This window comes from Homo sapiens, chromosome 3 (assembly GCF_000001405.40).
Source record: "Homo sapiens chromosome 3, GRCh38.p14 Primary Assembly".
NCBI classification, from domain to species: Eukaryota; Metazoa; Chordata; class Mammalia; order Primates; family Hominidae; genus Homo; species Homo sapiens.
The window spans coordinates 120,783,486-120,809,519 of record NC_000003.12 but is presented as its reverse complement, the minus strand read 5'-3'; the positions used below and the strand labels follow the sequence as shown (position 1 = coordinate 120,809,519).

Genomic DNA, 26,034 nt, shown 5'->3' with positions numbered 1-26,034 from the left:
TTCCCACCCCAATTTAGTTTGTGCACCTGCTAGGGGTCATCTTGGCCAACTTTCTACCAAACGCTTAAAGAATATTTATATGTGGTATTTATTTGTAGGACATTCTCTAACATCTTCTCTAGTGATTTTTATCCAAGATTTCCAGATTTATTTTCCCCCTTTCCTAACAATCTCTATCAAGCTGAGTGACTAGTTCCCCCATGGTTCTTAGAGAGGGGTAATCACTGTGAATTAGACTCAGCCTAAAATCTATCCATAGGTGGCTAATGAAGAAGCTTCTGTTACTATAAAATTTTTTTCCCAAAGGTTAGCCATAGAAATAGAGAGGGCCTATTCCATTTCATTCTTTTTACCTCTTAACCTTTCTAATCGAGTTGTGATTCTGGCAACACACAGAATCTTCAATCTTTAGGTTCCAGATTTACTTAATGGAGAAGTAATAACTTTCTTTTTTTATATAATTAAATCCTAATTTTATTAAGGATTTCAAGTTACATACTTCAAATTTCTAGTATGGAATGAAATCATTTTGGAACAGGAAAAATGGCGTAAACACTGACATCCCTTGACGCTTCAATTTTATAAAGAGAATTCTTCTGCAAACCACGTCCCCATTATATAACAAGACTAGGTATTATCTACACCTTCACTTTGGCAATAGCTATTTCCTAAAAGAATGAAAAGATGATTTTGCTACTTCAGTTCATTAGAAATGGGATTCTAGCTTTAAAGTTAGAAAAAGCTGAATTTAGATGAACTATGGTTACAAAAAAAAAATCACAGAGTGTCTAATCAAAGCAAAGGAAATCATTTTGAAAATAAAGAGAAAAAAGCTATTATAATTGGTTAAGGATTTCCAGTAGTAAGTTAAAAATCTCAGGAGAGGAATGGATAGCACTACAAACAATGTGTTCACATTCCAAGACCTTAACACTAACTTCTCAAAAAGGAAGTTTTCATCACCTTTAAAAATGAATTGAATGTAATTTTATTAACAGCAGGAAATCTAGACCTTCCTCTAAATGACAACCCAAAAGTCCACCCTCGCTGTCGTCAAAAAAAAGTTCAACCCCAAATTTAACAGTAATTAGCCTGAGGTATTGTAAATGTGGCTCTACAGTCTGAAATTTAATGGCATCTTTTATCAAAAATAGTCTTATGTCCACTTTAGTCTCATGACTACAATACTATAGTGCTATCCAAGTAGTATTTACTGCTATACAGTCATCAAAAATACCTGAAAAAAATTCTTGGACTTTGTGAAATAGTGCATCCATCCACTTCTATACAAATGGGAGCAACACAAAGATCTAAAGGAGTGTTGCCTGTCCAGGTCCAGAACAGAGGTACTTAACCTTTGTTTTCCAATTTAGTTATCAAAGTGTGGTATGAACAAAATGCTGAGTGTCACACTGACATTACAAATAGGCCCAAAATTTTGAGCTGTTAACGAGATTGAGAAACATTTTATGAGATTTAACTCAATATGCCTTAACACATCCTTGAGGTAGTTAGGTAAACAGTACTACCCATTTTAATACATAGTAAACAGAAGCATGGGTAAGTGACATATTCATACTTTAAGCAATAAGAATTAGAAGAAACCACAGAAGCTTGGGCCTTTTCTCTAGCTCTAACCCAAAGAAAATGAACTTTAATTTTTTTTTTACAAAAAGCATCAAATAACTGAAGATCTTCTTCTTCTTCTTCTTCTTCTTCTTCTTCTTCTTCTTCTTCCTCCTCCTCCTCCTCCTCCTCCTCCTCTTCTTCTCTTCTTCTTCTTCCTCTTCTTCTTCCACACTTGCTTATTAGTATAGTATCTCTTTCCAAAGCTGGTACCCTTCTCTTCAATAATGTGGTAAAAACTGTGTGTAACCCTTAATTCCAGCTAGGCCTCTGCTTCTACCTGAATTGGTACAAAATTAAGACATTATCTTGTAAGAACTAAAATTGTATTTGAAATTTTTATTTTAGGCTGCAAAAACAAAAACAAGCAAACAAACAGCAAATAACTTGAAAATAGGCCTGTCGGATAATGTAAATTCTTCCTTTCCAGGGAAGCAGAAGGTAGACTTTATCACAAAGAAAAGATGCGTAGTTAATGGAGTTTAAATTTAAAAGTATAGTTAAATTGAGGGTAACTTCTGAAAATCCTGTTTTATTCACCTCACTGTGGTACCAGTAACTATCCTGAGTCAGGTTACTTTACCGTTAACTGTCACCTATAACACAATAATCCATTAACCATCTAATGCAGTTATTGGATGTGTTCATACTGGAAATTCTTAACCATATAGTTGTCCTGCCAATTTTATTTTAAAACAATGAATTGTCTTAATATAAGTCACTGCATTTCTGTAACATATTAAAGAAGGTCACAACTAATCCAAGCGGACTTAACCCTATTCAACAACCAGCTGAAAAAAATACTTTGGCTCGTCAAGGAAAAAATTATGAAAAGAAAGTATTTCACTTAGCAGTCGTTAATTTTCACAGTTGTACTCCAAGAGCTACATGAAAATATTCCAGAAGAACCAAATTACGTAGCAATTAATGAACATGCGTGACAGAATTTGTGCATTCAAAATATCTGGCGGAAAAACTAGTCAAAATGCTAGAGAGGACAAATTGGTCTTTAAAATATCAGTTTCCTGTCCTTTAAAAAAGTTGCATAGTCTACCAAGAAAAAACGAAAACATAAGGCTGTAAGTAAATAAGAGTTGTGTTTAGGCTATTACAGTGCAGGTTATCCTCAAGGCCACATACATCCTGCTTCACTGCTGCTTGCACTCTGCTGCGTTTTGATCTTTCTTTGGTTCATAGTCTGGATCATTTTCCTCATCTTCTTCTTCCCCTTCCTCATCTGCTTCTTTGCCTTCTTCATCATAATCATCATCATCATCTTCAATAGCTTCTCCAGTAAAATATAACACTGATCTTGGGATTATACACTCAGGTAAAAAGTGACTGATTTGGAAGTTTGCAGCATGGATAGCTTCAGCAGCATCATCCAGATATCCACTCTCAGGAACTTCAGGAGGGGCAAAAAAATTAAAGCAAGAGTCATTGGAAACTCTTTTAGTCACAGTACAAACTGTCCCATGTCCCTTGTGTTTCTGCTGCTTCTTAATGTTTCTCAAAGTGACATTCTTTCCTTTTTTTCCAATCTATCTGGCACCCTGTACAACCCATAATTTCTAGTCCATCAAAAGAAAAGGGACCAGAATCATCTGGTTCTGACCTCATCCTATATGTCTTTGTTGGCACTTCATTTGTAAAATATTCACTGGGTTCAAAGTGAAATTCTAAGACAAAACTCATAGGCTGGCCAGCATCCAAGAACTTCACTTTAATAAATTTAAAGTGCTTCAGAATAGGTTCATCATGTTCCTGAAGCATATCACTAAGCAAGTCAACATTCTTAAAAATAGTTAACCAAAATTCAGGAATTCCTATGGGCTCTTCTTTTTCTTCATCCTTCTTCTCTTCTTCAATCTTGGCCTTTTCTTTCAACTCCTCCGAAATCTTGCCTTCTTCATCTGGTTTCCATTCACATTCTTCTTCTGTGGGTTCATAAATTGCATTAATAATCTCAAATCGCTTATCAAATAGAGGCTGATAGAGAACAGCATAGAGAAGTGATAACTTTCAAACCAATCTAAAATATTCAACTTGTGAATAGAAATAAACAAAGAAAAGTAAATTAAACAAAGAAAAGTAAATTATTAAATTAAAATATTGGCTCTTAGATTTTAGTGGTAAATAAATTTTTTCCCTGGGTTATCAGTCAGTAACATTAGCTTTTGGTTATAAATCAGTTTGGACAAGTATTGTCTCCTTGGGTTCTAGTGGCTTTTACCCAAGCCCATAGGAAAGCAATCTTCCTGATCCAGATTCCCTACTAATAAGGCATCCGCAGCACTACTGACTAATGTGATTTAAGATGGCTCATGTGTACGCCCACTTTCAAAAGAGCCTGACCTGAGATAGGGAAACATGGAAGAGACCACCATGGCTGCCCTAGGAGGAATGCGTCAGGAAAGAATGACTTGAAGGAGATAGAAGGATTGATAAAGCGCCCTCGGCACAAGTATCTCAGGCTCAGCTCTCAGGGACTTAGTACTCTCAGCAAATTCGGAACTGGTATAAAAGACATCAAAAAGGTGATCTAGTCTAGACTCAGAACATTTAATGGCTTCCTTCTCTGTCTTTAGGGAGTGCTTAAAAGATCTAACCTAGAGATTAAACTATTTCTCCCTTAGGGAATCTCATTTGCCTTTTCCTTCATTATGCAGAGCAGTTCTGCACTCATACACCCCAGCTTCCACCTCCAGATTTTATCCCCACCACCTATGAAGACTTGGCAAACAAAGGGCATTCTAGCTACCAGGACTGCCTCTCAGAATTATATATAACATTTCTTTCTCTTACACACAGATAAAAGACAAAATGAAAATAGTTAAAAATCAGTTCAGGTGGTGGAACTATGGGTGATTTTTTTTCTTCTTTCTATTTTCAGTCTTCTCATATTTTATTTGATTATAATACATATTAATGAGCTCTAACATTTCCTGAGCACTGACTCTGGGCCTGGCACTGTGCTAAGCACATTACGTATTTTATCTCACTTAATCCTCTTTAGAAGTATGTGAATTTACATATAAGGAAGCTAAAGAAAGTAAGTAACTTCTCAGTGGGTACTCTGTATATCAACCCTGGTCTATCTGACATTAAAGTCAGAACTCTTAACTACTACATTTATTTGGTTGTAAGATATTGAAACTAGAAACTTAACCATGGGTTTATCTTAGGGAATTGGACTGTTATAAAAATGAGAAGATGGCCGAGCACAGTGGCTCATGCCTATAATCCCAGCACTTTGGGAAGCTGGGACGGGAGGATCGCTTGAGCTCAGGAGTTTGAGACCAGACTGGGCAGCATGGCAAAACCCCATCTCTATTGGTTTGCCAGGGGAACCAATCCTGTAATTAGAGGGTTGGAACATTTAGTTCCACCATTCAACCTCCCAGGAGGGGAGAGGGGCTAACAGTTGAGTTAATCACCAATGGCCAGTGATACCATCAATCATGCCTACGTAATGAAGCCTCCATAAAAACCCAAGGGAAGTGGGTTCAGGGAGCCACTGGAGAGCTGACTACGTAAAGGTGCCTGGAGGGTGGTCTGCCAAGCCCTGCACCTCTTCCCACATGCCTTGCCCTAGGTATCTCTCCATCTGACTGTTCTTCTGTATCCTTTATAAAACCCTTTACAATAAATGGGTAAATATGTTTCCGTGAATTTTGTGAGCCACTTTAACAAATTAATAAAACCTGAGGAGGGGGGTTATGGGAACCCTAATTTATAGCCAGTCAGTCAGGAGTACAGGCTGCAACCTGGGACTTGCAGTTGGCATCTAAAGTGAGAGGGAGTCTTGAGAGGCTGAGCCCTCAACCTGTGAGATCTGACTCTAACTCTAGGTAGATGTGTCAGAACTGAATTTTAGGACCCCCCCGCCCATGTCCAGTGGAAAATTATTTGGTGTATGGGGAAAATAATTCACCCATCCAGTGTCAGAAGTGTTGTGTTGAGTAGTGTGTGAAAAACAAAAGGACAAGTTTTTCCAATCTCTTACATCTCCTGAAAAGAAATTCAGATTTTATTTCTCCTAAGCTCCTGGATGATGGATTTTAAGAATGAGACTACCTGCCTTTCCTAGTAGGATAAAGATGGGTTGGGGCATGATAGTGACTCTCTTAGGGGCTGAATAGATGTACCTTGCAGGGTGATGTCTCCTGGCATTATTGTTTGTTTGTTTTTTGTTTTTTGTTTTTTTGAGATGGAGTCTCGCTCTGTCACCAGGCTGGAGTGCAGTGGCGTGATCTCAGCTCAACGCAACCTCCGCCTCCTGGGTTCAAGCGATTTTCCTGTTTCAGTCTCCCAAGTAGCTGGGAGTACAGGCACACGCCACCATGCCCGGATAATTTTTTTTTTTTTTTTTGTAATTTTAGCAGAGACAGGGTTTCACCATGCTGGCCAGGCTGATCTTGAACTCCTGACCTCATAATCTGCCTGCCTTGGCCTCCCAAAGTGCTGGGTTTACAGGCATAGCTACCGCGCCTGGCTTCCTGGCACTATTGTTAACAGCACAGCCAAGCCTCAGAGCAGAAACTTTCATTTCTTTTCATGTAACAATTCTAATTATTATTAAAATTATTATATTATCAAAGGTCTGCTCATCGTGTTTAAAAGCAGAAAAAAGTGTCTAAATATTAACAAATGAAATTCAAAGAAATAAAAGTACAGTCTATGGAGTAATAAAATATTTCTATAGCAGAAACAATACATGGCCAGTCATGGTGGCTCATGCCTGTAATCTCAGCACTTTGGGAGGCCAAGGTGGGCGAGTCACTTGGGGTCAGGAGTTTGAGATCAGCCTGGCTAACAGGGTGAAACCCCACCTCTTCTAAAAATACAAAAATTAGCCGGTGTAGTGGTGTATGCCTGTAATCCCAGCTACTCAGGAGGCTGAGGCAGGAGAATTGCTTGAACCTGGTAGACAAAGGTTGCAGTGAGCAGAAATCACATCACTCACTGCACTCCAGCCTGGGTGACAGAGTGAGTGAAACTCTGTCTCAAAAAAATAAATAAAAATTAAAAAAAAATAAGTGCCTAATATATGCTCAAGAAGCAAAGTGAGCCCTTCTGTTATTAAGCAAATGGATAAGTACAAGAGAGTGAGTTTCACTGTTCAGATAATTCCTAAGGAAGGGGCTGTATTATAAGCTCAGGCATTCCGAAGTGGTAGTCCCTGCTCAGAAAGTCATGGGCTATGAATCCTCAGGCCTGGTTCTTCAGCCAAAATTGATGGCTTCCAAGTTGAGGCCCAAGAATATATATGAAATATCAGTGAAATAAGAGCAATGAATCCAGTCCTGGCAAAACAGACAGTGGCGTCTTCTTCGCACTTCACCTCTCTCCTTCAAGGTAGCCATAGCTGTAGTACCTCTAGTTGCTAGGAGCTCTCTCTTTAGGACAACGGCTCAGGTATTGAAAAGCTCTTACTTATGTTGTACTGAAATCTGCCTTCTTTAACTTCTGCTCTTTATCTCTACATCTTGACAGGGCAGAACAAATTTATTCTGCCTGTCACACAAGAGCCTTTTAAATATTTGCAGACAAGGATATGGTATTCCTTTGGTTGACTTTTTTTTCTTCTCTAGGCTAAATGTGATCATTTATGTCAACTATTCCTGACTTCCTGACCCTTACCAACCCATTACTTTTCTTCAAGTTGGTCAAAATCCCTCAAGAATTGTGGTACCTACCAGAGAACCCAGTACTTCAGTGTGGTCTGACCACAGCCCACTGCACTAGGACCAGGGCTTCCTATAATCTCTCCTTCACTTCCCTTCATGCAGTCAAAGACTGGGTTGTTTTTTTCCAGCACACACATCATAATGTTGGAAAATATTCAACTTGTGGATAATTAAAGTCCCCAGTCCTTTCATATGAACAAATGCTCTTTGGGTAATCATCTCCATCCTGAACTTATATGATGGTTTGCTTTTTACCCTAAATATAGAATTCTGCAATTATTTCTGATATATTCCATCTTATTGAGTTAGACAAGAAACTCCAGACTGTCTAGACAATTTTGAATTCTGATTTAGCTCTGTAGCTATAGGTATACTTTCCAGCTTTGTGTCACCTGTAGGTTTAATAAAAATGCCTTTTAACCTATCGATGCATTGCAAAAGTAAAGCAAACTTTTCTGACATTATTGAAAGTGTAGGCTTGGGTACACGATGCAAAATGACTTCTAAATTAGCTACAGCAATTTATAGACAGCCTTTTTCACTTCTCTCCAACCCACCTGCATGACATGCAATACAAAGCACACAAAAAAGAAAAAGAGTCCTACTTAATGTGGGTAGTGAGCAAGGAAGAAAACAGAAAGAAGTAGTGACATTGCTGGTAGCTCTATCTCTATTCCATCCCTGGTCCCAAGAGTGGACATTCTTGTAGTTTTGTCCAGGTATTATCCTTTGGGGATAGAAATGGTTCGTAATGTTTTTATAGTTCATCCTAGACCATGGCTCAGCCTTGCCACCCAACTTCCCTGTCCAGGGAGATCAGAAGCAATAGGTGGCTATCAAGGCATCATTTGAATAGGGTGGATATCAAATACAGCATCCCCATCTGTACAGGACTCAGCCTTTGATAGTTCTTGATCTACCTGCCAGCAACCATTCCTTCCTCCCACTTGCCTTTACCTCCACAGGATCAGTAAGAGCAAGAAAAGTTCTTCTCCTTCTTGATTTATTTCCTCCTACTTAAACCCAGGCAGAGAAACTGGGGCCTAACTTTTATGACCTTGGTGTTAGGAAAACAAAGCTTACTAATAATATTAAGGAATAGAAGTAATTTTATGTCCAGGGCCTGTTGACCAGTATAATGTTTTCTCTGATGCAGTTGACTCTCTGAACCTGAACATATTCTATATAACTTTTACAGCTCCCTTTCCCAAGGGAGATAATCATAACAATAGTCTCTAGGAAATTCCCTTACATGGGCTGATATGTGCTGTCCTTTTTTCCTCATGTCCCAAGATCAGATAATCCAAATGCAACTTTCATAAATGTCCTACACAGTCATCAGAGTGGGAGCTGTAAAGCAAGAGTGGAAGCTAGGACTATATTTAGGAGCTGGCCCTAGGCTTGTGCTTGGATTTCAGCATTGGCTTCTCCTCTTACCAGCCATGTGATCTTGGGCAAATTACTTACCTCTCTATTCCTAAGAGATGGATAAATAAGAATAGAGTTGATGTGATAAGAAGTAATCAAAATAAGTAATACAAACTAGTTAGTACAGTCCCTGGCATACAAACAGTGCTCAATAAAATTAGTTATTATTAAATAGCCTTCTAATATATGTGTTCAGATTTCTTTTTCTACTGTTCAATTTCTGTGCTTTGATCTAAAACAATTAAGAAACATGGTAACAGTGTTACTAGATTTTTAGAATCCTAGCATGTAAAAGATCTAATCCAACCCTTCCTTTGACAGATGATGAAAATGAGGCTCAGGAAGAAAAAAGGAATTTCCTAATGTACACAGTGAGTGAAAGGCAGAGCCAGGACTATAAACTAGATATCCTGACTCCCAATCCTATCCCTAATTATAGCCGCCTTTTTCCCCCTGAGAAAAGAATCAGGATTAACCAAATGCAGATTTAGATGCTAGTATATTTTATATGTAGGAATGTGATAGTTGTTATGGAATATTTGAAAAAAAATGTATTTATATATGTCATTCTGTATAGAGAAATTATAAAAATTATCTATAAATTAGTATGAATAGCAAATGAAGCTTATGTTCAAAACTCCCACTTCCAACCTCCCTGTTTACTCAGCAGCATGGGATTATGGAAAGAACATAGAATTTGGAACGGAGTGAGCTTGGATTCAAATCCCAATTCCACCACTTAACTGCTGGCATGACCTTTATTTAGCAAGTTACTTAGTCCCTTTGAGCCTCAATTTCTTCATCTAGAAAATGGAGATACCGAAACCTGTTTCAGTGATTTTTGTGGTGCATAGGATATATAGTATGGGAACACAGAACCTGGTATAAAGAGATGCCCATCACACATTGGCACCCCTCCTTAGATTTGACTCTCACTTTGCTGTCCTGATTTTGGTGCTCTGCTGGAAGCAAGGCACTGCCAGGTGCTAGCGACATGGGAGCCATATTTGAGAGGAAAGACGGCTGTCTGCTTTGTCATGAGCGGGACGGAAACATGGTTCTTGGAGTTTCCCTCAAGGTCACTTGGGAGCATAATGTTGTTTCCTACAGGACATCAGCTCAGGAAGTATGCCAAGGCCCAGGGTTGCTTACCACAGAGAAATTATCTCAAGATTGTTCAATGTCAGGCCTTGGTATTACTGGCTGGCCTTAGAGCGGTCTGTGCACCAGGCTTATATATCCTAATCCTCCAAGTCTATTATCACCTAACAGCAGCTTTTGGTTTTGGCTCTTGGAGTGTCAACTGCTACAGCCTCCTCTTGGTAAGCTTCCTTATGCATTATGTATTTATAAATATTTATGTAAGGGAGAGGGGTGGGGGGAGGAAGGAAAAGAAGGAAAGAGGGAAGGAAAGAAAGAATGAAGGAAGCAAGCTCAAGGATACAACAGCGATTGGCCTTTGAGAACTAGGAAATAATATTTTGTTCTGAGAGTTAATCTATACAATCAGTCTGTAATGGATCTGATCAGAATATGCAAAGTCGTCTTAAAGTGGTAGAATAGATTATTAGCCAATAAGACTTTTATATCAGTGGTTCCCCAACCTGGCTGATGATCAGAGTCACTTGGGATGCCTGTAAACATTCAGATTCCTAGACTCCTCCACAGACCTAATTATTAGAATTTCCAGTAGAGCTATACAAGCCCGTTATTTCTTTACATGTATCCCAGGTGCTTTTGTGGCAACCGGCTTCTTCCTGGTCAGCAGACTGGCTTTGGGAACCACAGGTGCACTGCAAGAAGTCTCAAAAGGATTAATATATATAAAGAGCAATGTGTTGGTCAACAGAGGGAATGTGGGGAAAAGGGCACACATGGTACACTGGCTCTTGTGTGCATTGTTCAGGAATGGGGGCTTCCGCCACAGTGCCTGAAACATCTAGATCATCTGGAGCAGATTCCTGTTGAGGAGACAGAGGCTCCAGTTGAGCAGAGCCCTATGTTATCAAACATTTGAATAATATAACTCTCTTTGTCAAAGTTCCTTGTTCATTGAGCAACTTTCAGATGATCTCTCTTCCCATGCAACTGGCCTGTAGGGAGAAAAGGGACAGATCAGGCCAAATGTTTCCCACTGTAAATTAATAAACTGGCATTCTGGTTATATATCAGTCTCTTGTGGATTAGTATGAGTCAGCATCTCTTAGTCTGATCAACTCAGAGGCTCTGTCAAGATCCAGTTTCTGATGCTGTAAAGCTGAGGGCCCAACCCTAGACCTCAGTGTATTCATCAGAGTAAATGTGTCCCAGGAGGTCAGCCAGTTAGCATTTCCTGGAGAAAGGAGGTGAGAAGGAACCCATTTCCCAGGGAAACACGGTATGGAAGACCTTCTTGATGCTTTACTGGGTACATGAACTGGGTGAGGTTCTTATAAGAACAGTTCTTTAAAAAGCCTTTTCTGTTCTCAAAGGGTTTTCACATATATTAGCTCATTTGATATTCACAACAATCCTGGGAGGTAGGTCAGGCATATATATTATTATTATTACTTCAGAGATGAGGAATCTGAGCGCATAGTCACTTACCTAAGATCCAAAGTAATGACAAAAGTGGGAGGAGAATCCAGGTCTTTTGACTCTTAGACATTATTCTTTTCACTTCCTCTCTCATTTAACAAAGTAAATACCATAAGCAGACCCATAAAGGAGCAATAGAAACACTTGAATGGGATAGTGTGGGACTGTGTTTGCATGTCTTTGTGTTAGGGGCTGGGTTAAGGCTACAGACATGGAAAGGCAAGTTGACAGACAGCACGGTAGAAGAGAAATCAGGCCAGTGGTGCTAATAAGAAAGCACACTCAATTTTTTTCTTAGTTTAGAAGAATGAAGTCTGATTCAGTTTAATTGAACAAATTATTTACTGAGCACCTATTGTGTGCAAGGCCTTGTGTACTAAGTGCTACCAATCGGAGCAAAGTTTAGAAAAGAACATTTTGAAACATGTATTTTGGTGTGAAGAGTGACCCTGAAATCATTTTCCTTCTTTAATCACAGCATCGAAAAATGCAACCCACAACCAGGGTATTTAAGGGAAAATGGGAATGGGGAGAAGCTGATTGTAACTAGAATTCTGGCAGCCAAGACCATTTGGAAATTTGGGCTTGATGACTCTCATTAAGGATGGATGTTCGTGCAAAATTTTGCTGGGCAAATATGAAGGGATGCAGCTTCCTCGACATTTTTCCATCTTTATATTTTATGTCTTTAAGTCCTTGGTGACTTCACTGGTGACAGTTTCCAAAATAAGTCCTGTTTTTTTGTGTCTTTTTAAATTTTTTTTTACAATGGCATGAAAACAAAATGTAGACTCCAGTGGCCCAGGATTTGTGAAAAGGGCAGGTCCCAGGGCTCCTCTTTCTCCTACTCTAACAAGGGCTTCAGTGTGATCTACAGCTGGGAAGAGGGGTTCCAGCCGGACATCTGTTAGCGAGCCTACAAACAATGCCCTACGGCTTGCTCCAGTCTTTGCGTTTTGCTAACTGGTTGATCATGTTTTCACTTCATAAATCTGTACATTCTAATGTGAGCACTAGCGGGGTAGCAAAAGGAGGGAGAGCTAGCTGCCTGTTCCCCACCCGATAGGTTCATGTCTGGCTGGATCAGCCTCCCACCTCTCTGGCTGATTCATCAGGCTCAGTCTATTCAAACAGATGGAACTTCTATTTAGGTATTTTAATAGCATGTATTTAAGATATCCTATTGAGAATCTGATCTGACAGAGGTTTGATGAAGTGTTAATGTGCTGAGAAACCAGGCTCACTAGGCACATAACTTCTTTCCCCAAACCAGATAATTTAAATCAATTTAGTTAGTACTTAACTGAGGGACTACTGTGCACCAGTATGTGTCTAGCATTGAATTAAGAGAGCCAGGAAAGAAGCAGAATGCTTGGCACACAAGCCCTTGGAAACTTCTACTCTCTCTGGGGAGAAATGGTACATGGATGGATGCATTTGAAGTTTACAAACATCATTAACTACTGTGTGCAAGGGGTTTGAGCATATAGTCAGAGTAGTGGCCACAATACCTCTTTTATATCAAGCCTACCTCAAGCAATTCAAAGGCAAATGGCTTTCTATTGTCTCTTATGATTAGAAAAATGGAATAAAAGGTCTAACATTGAGCACTTCAGTTAGATATACTGCACACTCTTCAATGCACCAAGTTCCTTTTTGACACCATGCTATTTATTGCTTCTGTTATTGCCCTGACTTTAGGGGATATCCACTCCCCAACCTGCTGTACTATTCAATTCTGATCCTTCTTTTTTGATCAAATTTGACCTTTTCCAAAAAGTTTTTGCTCCCAACCTTCAGGCAATCATGATAATGACAATATCTTTCTTTCATAGCCTTTACTATTAGTACCATGCCCTTTGGATCTTCAACTGAGTAACAGCATATACTGTCTTGTATTGGTCTTGAATCTTGCAGGTTTCTAACACTTGAATATACAACAATACAGTAAGCCCTTTAAGGATAAAGGTCAATTTATATTTGTTCAGTTAATATTTGCTCAGTACTGGCTCTGTACTATATCATAATTGCAGTGAAAACAAATATGTACAAATGAGAAAAGATTCTTACAAGTAGGGCATGGTGGCTCATGCCTGTAATCCCAACACCTTGGGAGGCCGAGGTGGGAGGACTGCTTGAGGCCAGGAGTTCGAGACCAGCCCTAGCAACACCTCATCTCTACAAAAACTACAAATTTAAAAATACATATATCTTGCTCTCAAAGAGCTCACACATTTTGCTACTCTGAAATGGAATGATAATCTCCTTCTGAAAAGCACTTAGCATAGTGCCAGCTACAGAGTAAGTCTTCTCTAAACAAATGCCATTATTAGTTATTATTTCTTTTAGACTAAATGGAAGAGTGGGAAGTGGAAATAAGAACCGAGAAAGGAAGTTGCAACTGTTAAGATGCTTTTGGAGGCAGGTAACAGAAAACTCAAAAGACTTAAACAGTAAAGGAAATGTATTGGTTCTCCTAAATGAAAAAGTCCAGAAGTAGAGTAATGATTGGTTGTGATTCAATGAGGGCTTTGGCTTCATTTCTCTGTGATTCTTTTGGTACTGCTCTCCCCCTGCATTGGCTTTATCCTCAGGCAGGTAGCAAGATGACTACAATAACTCCAGGATTCACGTTTACACACAACATGCAGAGAAAGAGAGGATTCATCTCTTCTGATGAATTACTTTCATAAAGTTACTTTCTTAAAAGTAACTTACTTCTTTCATCAAAGCCCCAGCAAATCTCCCTTCTCATCTCAGTGTACCAACTGAGTCACAAGCTTTTTTTCAACCTATTCCTTGGTTTAGGCTAGGTTCCTGACCCAGGTACAGGTTAGAGGATGTGATTACTATTTCGGTTAGGACTTAAACTGCAATGGCAGTCAACCCCCAAATCTCAGTGGCTATTTAATACAGCTAAAATTTTATTGCTCTCACTACATGCCAGTGTGGGTCAGCAGGGGGCGCTCTACCATTATAGTCACCCTAGGACAGAGGCTAATGGAGGCTTCACCTTGACACAGGCTTTAGCAATCATTGTAGCAGAGGGAAGGGGGTCTGGTGAATCACACACTGGCTTTTAAAGGCGTTTGCGTAGAAGTGACATATATCATTTCTATTCACATTTTACTGGCCAAAGCAAGTCATATGGTCACTCCTAACTTCAACAAGCTGGGAAATACAATTCTACTATGTACCAAGGAGAACCAGAATATTTAGGAACAGCCCCAATTACTACTGTAATTACCCTTGGCTCAATCAGGACCAGCTGTGGATATGACTATAGCATTAGCTTCTCTTAAAACACATGTACTTCCTTGGTAAGGGGATCCCTTAATAAAAATCAGATATTATAAGGAAGGAAGCAATAGATGCTAAGTAGGCAAACAGTAATGTTTATTATAGAAGTTCTATGAAGGCAAACTGGTTTCAGACATCAAATAGAGAAAGCAAGACCATGAACAGATTGGCAAAGGTTGAGAAGCAGCTACTATAAGAATGTAGCCACCTAGAGATCTGCACAGCAGAAAGGGCCCAGATGAAAATAGGCAGCAAGGCCAAAAGTGCATGCGTTAGTCTCTTTGCTGTTGCACTTCCCAGCCCAGGAGTGGGATCATAAGAAGCAGATCAGGAAGAGTAGAAATGATGAATGATTTGACTGGCTTTGTGGGAGGTCTTGGGTTGTTGAAGGATCGAAGAAGCCAAAGGGTTCTCCAACGGGCAGTAGGACCCAAATGAAATTTGGGCAAAAGTCGTATTTTTAAACTAGGATAAGTCCTTGAGAAGGAACCTACAACAGAAACAAAGACTGTAGTAGATGGTACACACAGATGAAATGTTATTCAAATATTGAAAAATGGAGGACAGCAATCTCAAAGAAATAGTGAAACAAAGGCCTTCTGTCCCACAGGGCCTTACAGGTGTTAAAAAAAGGTTTCCATGGGAGAAGACAGTGTAAGTTTACATTAGAGCTGTGTTTCTACCCAGGGGAGGCAACACAATTTATAAAAAAAAGAACTCTAAGACCAGGTCCAATGGCTCAGGCCTGTAATCCTAGCACTTTGGGAGGCTGAGGTGGGAGGATTGCTTGAGGCCAGCAGTTCAAGGCCAACCTGGCCAACATAGTGAGACCACATCTCAAAAAAACAAAAAAGAAAGAGAAGGAAAAGAAAGGAAAGGAAAAGAAAAGAAGAGAAACTCTAGATCTGCAGTTAAGAAAATCAGGTTTGAGTCCCAGCAGTGACTACAAATAGCTTGAAATGGGTAAATCAGCATAAACTTCTTTCAACTTGTTTCCTCAGCAGAAGAAAAGGGATAAAAATGCCTCCTCTATCTTCCTCAAAGCTTTATGTAAAAATCGAATTAGACAGGAAAGCCTCTTGATAGACTAAAAAGCCCTAGTGTATGTATGGAATTTTAATACTGAAGTGAGTCAGTGGCAGGGGTTGAGAAGGTTAAGGATATGGGCAAAATGCTGTCTCCAATTGAATAGGGCCCAGAGGGAACTATAGAAGTGGAGATAACAGTAGGCTGACAGGTCTTGTCTTGGTCAGTTCTTTTAATTGCAAGGGATAAAAACCCATCTCAAATTGGCCCAAGAATAAAATAAAATGTATTGATTCACATAACAGAAAATCATTGTAAGGGTAAGAATGGCTACAAGTGTGGCAGAATTTAGGAGCTCAAGTGTCATGATTGGAAATCTGTCTCTCTCCACCTCTAGTCTCTGTCTTAGCAATCCTTGTAGAAAAAAAGAGTGGCTTTTTTTTTTTTTTTCCATTTCAACAAAAACCCTTAGGTAACTTGATTGTCCTGGAACCCATATCCAGTCACTATGATGGGTGTCAATCCCAGCTGAATCACATGGATGGAGAGTGGGGAAGGAATAAAAACTGTGGGGAAGTAAATGAAAACCACTCATGTTCACCATAGGAAGTAGGTTTAAGAGGCTTGCTCCAGAAGTGATATGGCGGAGAAGAGGATGCAGGAAAGAGGAGGGAAGAAAATCAAGGGAGGATCCAAGGTGTAGCCTAGGTAGAGTATCACTCAAGGAGAAAGGCAACTTTAGAAAGGGACTTACCAAGCTCATTTTGGGGGATGGGGAGGTGGTGTGGAAAGACATCTGTGAGTCAAATAAGGGGAGGGCAGCGAGGACATAGTTAAGAATTCCCAAACTGGCCCAAAATACTTTTTGAGAAATAGTAGCGTAGGAGGGAAAAGCAGCCACTGTCATATTCTTTCAGTTAGTTCTTTGCTTGGTGAGTGTTTTGTTCCCAACTGTTGGTAGGGGCAGGGGAGGAGGTGAGAGGGGTAAGAAGGCTACATCAGTAGGAAGCAGCCAGATGCCTAAATGATGTTGGAAACATGGACACAGATGCCCGTAACATTGTGATAATTTTATAGCTTAATGAGTCTCAGTGAAAAAAGCAGCAAAGAAATTATCACTAAATTTACTAGAAGTTAAGGCCTGTAAGAAATGTGAAATGTGACTGACATATACCACACGGTAGGTCCTCCCCACCCACACACTAAACATAAAGGCCCACCCTGTCTTGCCTTTTTTCCACCCTCCTACATACACATAATACCTGCACACAGGCACATAGCAGCAGGAAAGATTCCCTTGGAACATTGTCAGAATCATTCTTGAGACCTCCCAGGTAGCTCACTACCCTGAAATGAAAAGCTGCCAGCCTCCGGTTTTTGAAGCTGGTAGAATAGGGCTGATTAACGCTGACTCCATACTGCACAAATACTGTGAGAGGCAATTTCGCTCTGGATCCATCCTCTCAATGCTAACAACTGCCATCACTACCACCCCTGATATAGGTACCGTTCCAAGCATGTTCAAACAGAAGGGCCTCACCTCCATGCTTAACCAAATGAAGCTATCAGCCCACTGCTGATCCTGTACTTGAAGGCTTGACTATTACAGAGAATTGGAGCATACAGATCACAGTTCCAGATTAAGGCACTAGAAGGCTAGGATGAATCCAGTATGACTCAGAGACTGAATCCCGGGGAAAAATGTAAAGGGTGACTTAGATAACCTAATTCCTTCCTGGGGGGGGTTTGTCTGGAATTCCTGAATTCTTACCTCATATGCATATATGCATATTTCCTATTAATCTCTCCTTTGTAGTTATTGCCAGGAAATCTCTGATCACAGACCCTAGAGTTCTGGTATTCTCTGTTGACTCCCACATCCCACAAGAGACATCTTGTACTACTCTCCATTGGATAACAGTAATTACTGCAGATAGTACAGGAAGAAGTATTACTTCAAAAAGAAATAGCACAGAAACACAGAACATATGACCCAGCAATTCCTAGGTATATACTCCCCAAAATTGAAAACAGGTACTCAAACAAATACTTATAGAAACATTCATAGCAGCGCTATCCACAATAGCCAAAATATAGAAACAACCTAAATTCATCAATAGCTGAATGGATAAACAAATTGTGGTATATACATATAATGGGATACTACTTAGCCATAAAAAGGAACAAAATACTGATACATGCTGCAACATGTAAAAACCTTAAAAACATGTTAAGTGAAAAAGCCAGACATAAAAGATCACATACCATATGACCCCATTTATATGGAATATTCATTAAAAGTAAATCCACAGAGACAGAAAGAAGACTGGTGGTTGCCAAGGGTTGGGGGAAAGGGAGAATTAGGAGTAAATGTTTTACAGATACTGGGTTTTCTTTTGGGGTGATAAAAGTGTTTTGCAACTGAATAGAGGTGGGGGTTACATAATACCATGAATATACTAATTGCCACTGAATCGTTCACTTTAAAATGGTTAATTTTATGTCAAGTGAATTTCACCACACACACAAAAAAAGTGGGGGAATACTGATTCAGCTGGCATGCACATGTATCCCCCAATACCCTCCTTTCTTTCTACCTGAAGGTGAGGGTGGATCAGGCATTATGAAGCAACAAGCATTTGCCAAAGCAGGCTAAGCATAAAGATAAAAGGAACCTGGGTCTTTGATATCATGAAGGCAACCACAGAACCACCATTTTTTATGAAAATAAAACTCCTAGATTTAAGAACAAAACAAACAGCATAATCTTTGTTCTTTACAAATGTCCTCTTTAAAGAGTGATCTTAAGGTAGACTAAGTGAACAAATTAATGTGCAAGTCTTGGGCTAGATGTATTTTTGGTTAAGGGGCTTCACCAGGTGCTGGGAAAATGCCCTTTGCTACACAGATCAGCACTTACCATCCGTAAGCATTCCAAACAGGAAGTTCTGGACAAAAAAATTAATACAAAATAGCATCACAGATATTAGGTATAGAAATAACGACAGAAATGGAAAATAGCAGCCCTTTATATAAGGTCCATAGTTTACTCATGGCCTGAAGAAGTTGCCACTTAATTGTTTATTCATTCAACAAATAGGTATTAATGACTATGTGCCAGGCATTGAGCCAGAATACTACAGGGAGCAAGAAAGATAAAGCTTCTGCTCTCATGGAGTGTACATTCTAGTGGGGCGGGAGAGGATAAGTAATAAACATATGAGCAATTTAACATACAATATCTATTAATACATGCATCTAGATCAACACATTGGACTTCCAACTCTCCTCTGATTTAGGACTGGCTCTTAGCTCCTCCATCTCTGGCATAGCTTCACAGGATGCTCAGGTTCCTCAGTTACCCAGAAGTCAGAGCTTCGTCAATGTCACACTATTGGTCTCAGTAATTAAAAACTTCAGTTCCTTATCGCCATTACTGCAGTTTCCTTCCATTCTATCCTACTTCAAGAAAAAAGCAACAAACAAAACACATTACCCCAACCATCCCCAACCCACCTCCCCACTGGGAAAAAATAAACCAGAAACAAAATCCATTCGTTCCCAAGAACAAAGAGCCTACAAACAAAGTAAAACCTACCTTTCAGGTAGAGGGTGGGGGAGGAGAGGAGGGTGGGCACAGCATTCAGGTAAAAAACTTGTATATGAGGAAAAATGCAAATAATCATTAAGTACAATACATAACGTTATTCGTGTAACTCTAGCACCTGAAGAAGATGCCCTAGACCAGTGCTGTCCAATAGAAATAGAATTTAAGCTACAAATGTGAGCCGTTTATGTAGACTTACATGTTCAGTCATATTAAAAGAAGTAAAAAAAAAAAGGTAAAATTATTTTTAACATTATATTTCTTTAATTCAATTGATTCTATGCTATTCTTTTCAATGTATATTCTATATAAAAAATTAAGATATGTTACATTCTTTCTTCTCATGCTGGGTCTTCAAAATTCAGCATATATTATATATTTATGGCCTACCTCAATTTGGACTAGATACATTTCAAGTGCATGCTAGCAACCAAGCTACCTTATTGAACACTGCAGCCCTAGACAAAGTACTCACTTAATTCCCTTTTCTAAAAACACTAAAGCTAATGGCTACTAGAATTAAAGCCTCTAAACATCTCATTGGCTATGCCCTAGAAGCTATATCCCAGCATCCCCTACTGATGGTCCTGGAGACACAGCCCTAGGTAACATGTTCCACAAATGAACGTAATTAACTGATTAAGAACATAATTAACTGACTTGCCATTCAGGCAGGAACAAAATGATGAGCCCTGGTGGAGAAAAGGCTATGTTCTCCCTAGTGCCAATTCTGTCCATCTATCCATTCAACATTTATTGAGACCCTACTACTTGCCAGAATTAATTCTATATGCCCCCAAGGAGCTTACAGTCTTTTGAGGGGTTGATAGACATAAACAATCAAATAAGAAATAAACAAGTTCATTTCAAATAATTTTTCTATGAAGAAAATAAAACAAAAATATGATAGTGGAAGCGATTCCTTTAGAGAAAGGAGAAGACTGACTTCTGTGAGGTGGTACTGAAGCTGAGAATGAAATAACAGGGACAAGTGCGAAGTATACCACTAGGGCAAAGATCTAAGGCAGGAAAAAGGCTGGCTTATTTGAGAAACACAGAGAATGTCAATATGGTTAGAGAGTAGACTAGCAGATGTAGGTAGCCAGGGGCTAGACCATGTAAAGCCTAGTGAATAGAGTAAGTTTGGATGTTATTCTAAGAAAAATCAATTAAGGGTTTTAAGGGGAGTGAGATAATCTAATTTAGATTTAAAAGATCCCTTTGTGTGTGGGAAATGGTTAAAATGCATGTGTGTGTGAGAGGGGGATAAGCATGGAAGCAGGGAGACCAGTTGGGAGGATGCTGGAGTAGTCAAGGTGAGAGTTCATGTGGCTGGGAGTAGGGTGGAGGTGGTGGAAGCAATGAAGTCAGATTTAGAGTATAGTTTCAATTTATTAGCAAGTCCTGTCACCTCTACTTTCGAAATCAGATTATATTTTGAGTCTAACAGGACTTGCTGGTAAGTTGGATGTGGGATTAAACTATTAAGACTTTTGGCTTGAGCTTGTAAGTAAAATGGTGGTGACATTTACTGAGTCTGGAACAGAAGGAAAACCTGCTTCTCCTCCTATATTTATAATGGTGTTAATGGAATTACTAACCAGCTTGACACCTGAGAATCATCCAAGACACTGCCCTATCCAAACAGTCACCAAATCTCATTAATTTTACCTCCCCAGAGTTTCTTAAATTTGTCCCCACTTTCTCATCCCCACTGACTTGCTCAGGTCTTTTGATCAAATTACTTACCAAGACTATTGAAATGGCCTTAATAATCTCTAGGTTTAAACTCCAATCCAGTATCAATACTACAAATTACTCCTCTGCTTAAAATCATCCAGCAATCTTTTTGAAGAGCAGTTTAGCAGTATATATCAGAGTTTAAAATAGACATGCCCTTTGTTTGGCTATTTCTTTTTTATGATTCTATTCTGTAGAAATACTCGAAGAGAATGAAAATGAGTAATTGATTATAGCATGTAATAGTGAAAAACTGGACACTATCTAAATGCCCGTCAATAAAGGAATTTTTACGTAAACCATTATACAACTATAAAATTCTATTTTGTTTTTTAAAATGAAGATCTAAACATACTGAATGGAAAGCTCTCCAAGATATTTCAAAACCAAATGGCAATGTGTATGATATGATTCCATTTGTGTAAAAAGCACTGTAGTATGTATGTGTGGTTTCTAAAGGCCTAGAAAAGGTCTGGGAGGATACACATTAAACTATCAACAATGATTACCTCAGTGTAGTAAGATAGTGGTGGGCTGGGGAGTTTTCATTTTTTACCATATATATTTCCTATTGAATGAATTTTTAAATAATTAAAACATTAACAAAAAACTGTACAACCATCCTGTATGCCCCAATGATTCAAGGCATTTTCAGACCTGGCACCAGCCTTCTTTCCAGACTAATTGCTCAGACTTATTTACATTAGGTAGGCCATTATGCACTTCTGCATTATGGGAAACGTGGGTTGACTGGTTGACTGTTGAAACTGGATTGTGTACTAGGCCTACCTGCTTTGCAACTAGAATAGGAAAGGCCACCTCTGATACTCAGAAGGTCATGAAGCTCTTTCTGAGGAGAAGCTAAGGTACTTGTTCCTGCCCTGAGGACATGCCAAAATAGGTTCATTCCTTTAGCTCTTCAAAGGAAGAAGTAAAATTTCATAACTCTTTCCCCTTCCCAACCCATTTTTGCATTAGATGTTTTAAAAGTACCTGTACTTATCTTGTTCACTGTTTAGTTTGCTTCTTTTGTAGCAGAAAGAGCCAACAAAATTGACAGTAAATTTACTATAGTGCCAGTTCTTTTCTGGAAATCTTCCTCATTTTTAGATATTAAAAAAAATAAAGTGATAGTAGCTCAGCTCTGCTAGAGATGACATAAAGTAGCTTTAGTGGAAACAAAACAAAGGTGAAATTACACCAATTTCTAAATTCTAAAGATTTTCGTATTTGTTTTTTGATTGTTATTTTCTACTTTTAAACTCAAGAATAAAGAGAATAAGAAAGTACATATGTAAGTCTTTCAATTGTGGTCCTGGCTGGAAACCTAGCCATCAAGCCAACTGCTAGAAAAGAAAATGAACTGTTCTTCCCAAACTTGTTTCCATTCAGTGTCCACTTGTCTCAGATAATACCAACAAGTTATGAAATGAATGAATTATTTCTCCCTCACTCATTCAGATGACTAGAAACGAAGTAACTTGGCAAGATGAGGAAGGAGAAACCAAATTAACTCATGCTTTTGCTGTGCTTTGCTACAACCTCAATTCTAAACCTGCCACCTACATTAATCCCTTAATTAAAATATCCTTCACCTGGTTTGAATTACCCTAGCATATGAGAAGACCAAAAAAGAGCCCAAATAGCCAAAGCAATCCTAAGCAAAAAGAACAAAGCCAGAGGCATCACACTACCCGACTTCAAACTATACTGCGACGCTACAGTAACCAAAATAGCATGGTACTGGTATAAAAACAGACACATAGACTAATGGAACAGAAAATAGGAAACCCAGAAATAAAGCCACACACCTACAATCATCCAATCTTTGACAAAATCAACAAAAACAGGCAATGGAGAAAGGACTCCCTATTCAATATAGTGGTGCTAGGATAACTGGCTAGCCATATGCAGAAGACTGAAACTGGACCCCCTCCTTTCATCATATACAAAAATCAACTGAAGATGAATGAAAGACTTAAATATAAAACCTAAAACTACAAAAACCCTAGAAGAAAACCTAGGAAATACCATTCTGGACATAGGCCCTGGCAAACATTTTATAATGAAGATTCAAAAACAATTGCAATAAAAACAAAAACTGACAAATGGGACCTAATTAAACTTAAGAGCTTCTGCACAGCGAATGAAACTATCAATAGAGTAAACAACCTACAGAACAGGAGAAAATATTTGCAAAGTGCATTCAACAAAGGTCTAATATCCAGAATCGATAAGGAACTTAAATCAACAAGCAAAAAATAAACAACTCCATTTAAAAAATGGGCAAAAAAATATAAACAGACATTTCTCAAAAGAAGACATACATGTGGCCAACAAGCATACGAAAAAATGTTCAGTCTCACTAATCATTAGAGAAATGCAAATCGAAACCACAATGAGACATCTCACACTAGTCAGAATGGCTATTATTAAAAAGTCAAAAAATAGCAGATGCTGGCAAGGTTGCAGAGAAAAAGGAATGCTTATACATTGCTGGCCAGAATGTAAACTAGTTCAGCCACTGTGGAATGCAGTCTGGAAATTTCTCAAAGAGCTTAAAACAATAGAGCTATTAGGCTGGGCTATTCTCAAAGAGCTATTCTCAAAGAGCTATTGGGCCGGGCATGGTGGCTCACACCTGTAATCCCAGCACACTTTGGGAGGCCGAGACAGGCAGATCACCTGAGGTCGGAGACCAGCCAGGCCAACAAGGTGAAACCCTGTCTCTACTAAAAATACAGAAATTGGCCAGGCATGGTGGCTCACACCTGTAATCCCAGCACTTTGGGAGGCCAAGGCGGGTGGATCACCTGTGGTCAGGAGTTTGAGGCTAGCCTGGCCAACATGGCAAAACCCCTTCTCTACTAAAAATATAAAAATTAGCTGAGCGTGGTGGTGCGCACCTGTAATCCCAGCTACTTGGGAGGCTGAGGCAGAAGAATCGCTTGAACCTGGGAGGTGGAGGTTGCAGTGAGCCGAGATCGCGCCATTGCACTCCAGCCTGGGCGACAAGAACGAAATTCTGTCTCAAAAAAAAAAAAAAACAAAACAGAAAGTAGCCAGGTGTGGGGGCACACACTTGTAATCCCAGCTACTCAGGAGGCTGAGGCACGAGAATTGCTTGAACCTGAGAGGCGGAGTGAGCTGAGATCATGCCACTGCACTCCAGCCTGGGCAAGAGTGAGACTGTTTCAAAAAAAAAAAAAAAAAACCACACACACACCCCAAATAGAGCTACCATTTAACTCAGCAATCCCATTACTGGGTATATACCCAAGGAAATGTAAGTCATTCTGCCATAAAAACACATGCCCATCACTGGTGGACTGGATAAAGAAAATGTGGTACATATACACCATGGAACACCACACAGTCATAAAAAAGAATGAAATCCTGTCTTTTGCAGCAATATGGATGGAGCTGGAGGCCATTATCCCAGGCAAATTAATGCAAGAATAGAAGACCAAACACCCCATGTTCTCACTTATAAGTGGTAACTAAACACTGAGTACACATGGACACAAAGAGGGCCTTCTTGAGGGTGGAAGGTGGGAGGAGGGTGAGGACTGAAAAACTACCTATCTGATACAATGCTTATTACCTGGGTGGCAAAATAATCTGTACACTAAACTCCATGACACGCAATTTACCTATACAGAAAACCTGCACGTCATATACCCCTGAGCCTAAAAGTTGGAAGAGATAAAGAATCACTCTGCATCCCACAAATATGTACAATTATTGTGTCAACTAAAAATAAGAGGAACATAGAAACAAAAATCCCCCTCATTGCCCCGCTCCCTTTGCTCACTACTGTAAAAACTTCAGGGAAGATCTGCTACACAAACTTGTGTTGATGGTACTAGGGGGAGTAAAGGACAGGTGGTGTAGAGGACAGATGGAAAACCAGGGAAGCAGAAAGGCGAAGCCAGAGGATACAAGCTCCCTGCCTACTCTCCCCGGTCCCCTACCACCTGCAAAAAAGAACTGTCATCTCCCAAAAGAAATGATACTAGAAGAAGTAGTCCAACATGTTAGGATAAAAAGTTCTATTTAAATCTTAAAGGACAGTGGGAAAGTTGGGACACTTGTTCAGCTGACACTTGAGATACACGAATATAGTCAACCGCATTCAGGGAAACCAAGTTCCTCCATCATCACTTATGGGCTGTGTGTGGTGGTGACTCTAGTTTTCCTGGGGTCAAGAAACACAGTGACTACATGTATCTACCAACCTTGGGTGTGAGCCTGCCCTTACTAGAGCTTCAGAGGCTAATCGGCAGGGCTCCCATTTTTGGTCCTTCTGTCACTGACTGTCTCTCCTCACCAGATTATTGTGCCACTCAAGAGACAAACCTATCTGATAAAGTAATATAAATTCTATTGAGTCTTATTAGATGTCACTGAAAGGGAGGTAGTTACCTATTAAATTATATCTTCCCATTGATTTTGAGTATAAATTTAGAGACGTTTATCCGAGAAAATGATAAACTCTGGATTTTTTCATTTTACTTAACTGAGGGTCTACTCACCCAAAAATCCTAGCATCAACCTAAAAAGACCTTGCTTTTGACACTCTACTATTTCTTTCATTAAATGTGTTTGATTCTTTTTCAAAATGAAAATATCTTTTTCATAATAATATATTAAGATCACTGTAATTCTCATCCCTAATTTATATATATACATTTATATATGTATACCTACCTCACAGATTATAAAAGATTGAATGAGTTAACATATATAAAGCACTTAAAATAGTGTCTGGCACACAGTTCACTATATGTTAGCTACTTTCTTCTTCACACACACACACCCCTAGAAAAACTGAATCCTATATTTAACACATTATGGATATCTTTTCCTCTCAATACATTCTTTTTTGGGGAGGGATGGGATCTCATTACATTACCCAGGCTAGCCTTGAACTCCTGGCTCAAACAATCTTCCTGCCTTGGCCTCCTGAGTACTTAGGACTAAATACAGATTTAGTGAGTATATCTATCTTTCTATTCTATTTCAAATACTGCTGCAATG

The 26,034-nt window shown here is 39.2% G+C and overlaps 1 pseudogene, besides 1 other annotated feature; it reads right to left on the bottom strand.

Annotated features, from left to right (window-relative positions):
* NAP1L1P3 (nucleosome assembly protein 1 like 1 pseudogene 3) lies at positions 2,858-3,633 on the bottom strand (annotated as a pseudogene).
* Positions 14,164-14,458: an enhancer, noted in NCBI's record as "tiled region #15271; HepG2 Activating non-DNase unmatched - State 12:CtcfO". NCBI's record gives its function as "activates a minimal TATA promoter and a strong SV40 promoter by Sharpr-MPRA in HepG2 cells {active_cell/tissue: HepG2}" and the evidence as "EXISTENCE:reporter gene assay evidence [ECO:0000049][PMID:27701403]".